This window comes from Homo sapiens, chromosome 4, assembly GCF_000001405.40.
Source record: "Homo sapiens chromosome 4, GRCh38.p14 Primary Assembly".
NCBI classification, from domain to species: domain Eukaryota; kingdom Metazoa; phylum Chordata; class Mammalia; order Primates; family Hominidae; genus Homo; species Homo sapiens.
The window spans coordinates 115,610,223-115,612,945 of record NC_000004.12 but is presented as its reverse complement, the minus strand read 5'-3'; positions in this window follow the sequence as shown (position 1 = coordinate 115,612,945).

Here is a 2,723-nt window from a genome sequence, read left to right as displayed (position 1 = left end):
CACAGTAAAAGACCAGCTTACTATCTTTCATCTGGTTAAATTTTTGTACTATACTCCAATGGTGCTGGTAATTCATCTTCATATGCCAGCAAAAGCAAAGACAAAAAGATTTGGGAATAATCTGGATATAGCCTAATTACTCAAGGTAAATGTCCACATAATACTATAGTCCTTTCTGTGAGTTGCTTTTTTAAAAACAGACTTTATTGTTTAAAGCAGTTTTAGGTGCACAGAAAAACTGAAGAGAAGGTATAGAGATTCCACATGTACCTCCTGCCCACACATCTGCAAAGCCTCTTCCATTAATATCCCCCACAAGAGAGGTACATTTATTACAATTTATAAGCCTGTATTGACACATCATTATCACCCAAGGTTCATACTACACATTAAGGTCCACTCTTGGTACTCTGTAATCTATGGGTTTGAACAAATGTATAATGACATGTATCTACCATTGTAGTGTTGTACAGAATAGTTTTACTGCCCTACAAATCTTCTGTGCTTCTATTCATCCCTCCCTTTCTCAATCCTTGTCAACCACTGATTATTTTATTGTCTCTTTAGTTTTTCCTTTTCCAGAATGTCATATAGCTAGAATTATACAGTATGTAGCCTATTAAGGTTCTCTTATTTTACTTAGTAATATGCACTTTCAGTTTCTTCCATGTTTATCCATGGCTTAATAGCTAGTTTTTTATAGCACTAAATAATATTTCATTCCCTTTTATTTTTCTGAACTTTATAGAATATTTCTCATATTTCTTATTTTTTAATCATTTTCATGTGACTTTTTCTAGCTAAAACTTCTCATTTTGTCTTGAGAATCCTTCATTGAAAAATTTATTACGGCAAAAACATGAAAATTTTACACACTTTTTCTTATTCCTATTATTCTTAATTTATACATTTTCTCTTAATTTTGTATTATGAACAAATATCTTCTCAGGTATTTTTAAAAATTATATTGTCAATTATAATTGTAAGTTATATCATGTATTAACTCTGATTCACTGAGACCTAGGATTTTATGTGTGTCTGTGTGTGTGTGCATGATGTTTTAATCTGTGTGTGTTGGTGTGGAGGGTGTGTACTACTCTTTTATGATACAGGCTTTGACTAAGGAATTTTGAAGATTGTGCTGGCCTAGTCAAGTTAGGTAAAATGACCTTGGGCCTGGCCTGCCTCTCTTCCTTCCTCAACCCTTGGAAGCCATAGGAAATTATAATAAGATATATCTTTCTTGATTTTTTTTTTACAAATCCCTGGACATGTGAGTTTGCATGAAGACTTGGCGTTAGGTGATACTCATGTACCTTGCCTCTTGTCTGCAGCAGGCTTGAACATCTGGCGTGGGTAAGGAAGGAGGAAATAAAGATGTGTGTGGATAGCTGCTAGAATTCCTGATGAGATGAAAATGATATTCATACTATGTTTCCTATTTTGTGTCTGTAAGGTAATAATGCAGAATTAAATTAAAGCGGGTTTGTTTTTCTATCTTTTTCCATTAGCATCACAAGTGGCAATGCACAAACTTTGTGGAAATATTTAGTGAGCCTTAAGTTTTAATTCAGGCTTAGGCATAAAGCTATAGGTATTGTGTGTATATGTGCAGGGCTTAAGTTTTAATTTTTTATGAGTAAGTTTGTAAAACAGACTTGAATGTTTTGTTTTCGTACATGTAAGAATGTGCAACATAGCAGTCCAAAAACTATTAGCAAAATACTTCAGACAAGTAACGAATTGGGTAAAGTTTGTAACCTAGTTTTTTTCATCTAGATGCCAAATTATTGGACATGATGAACATGAGAATACTGAAGGACAAGCAGTGAAAAGAACTGTACAGACTTTAGCAGATTGTCGTGTTTTCTGTCTTCTCCTGTTCTGTATGGCCATCTCTCCCTGTATGTGCTACTTTACTGTATTTTTGCAGAGATTATTGATAATTGTCTCAGCTGTATCTTTTTCTCCTCATATTTTAGCTTCTATTTTTTCATTTTATCCTACCATCCTTAATGTTTTCCAGAAACTTTGAAATTGTTTCATTTTGCCAGTCCTGTCTAATTATCCTATTTATAGTAAGTTCATTATTTTAAAAATTCCCTGTTGTTATTTAATAGAATCTTGGGGGAAACAGGAGATAAAATAGCTCAGGTTACCATACAGAATTGAGATTGTTTGGTTGGATGTATCTCTCAGATACCTCTGTGAGAATACTGAGTATGCATTTAGATATAAGGCCTATAAACTCAGCAGACTTTGGTCTGTAGAGCTGGATAATCCTGAGATCACCCACAGGCATTTTATTTAAAAATCAAAACAGATATCATTAGATGCAGCTATCCAGGTGGCATTTAAATTAAAAAAAAAACAGAATAACTTCATTTAAAAATTATGCTAATTGAAAGAGAAGTTACAACAGCAAATTCTCTTGATGTGTCACCTGACTATTAGATAATTTTGCAAATTACCTAATATCTACCTACGGTACTTCCATTATCTATAAGAAAGTGAATGGTGGCCACATCAGAGTGTTTCATGGGTTCTACAACTACCTTCAATTAATTAATGTGCCAGAAAGACTCATAGGACATAGCAGCAGGTTATACACATGGCTAGAGTTTATTACAGAATGATTAAAAACAAAAAATAAAAGAGTAAAAGCAACAAGTAAAACATCTATATTAGGCAAAGTCCAGAGTCATCAAAAACAGGTTTACAAA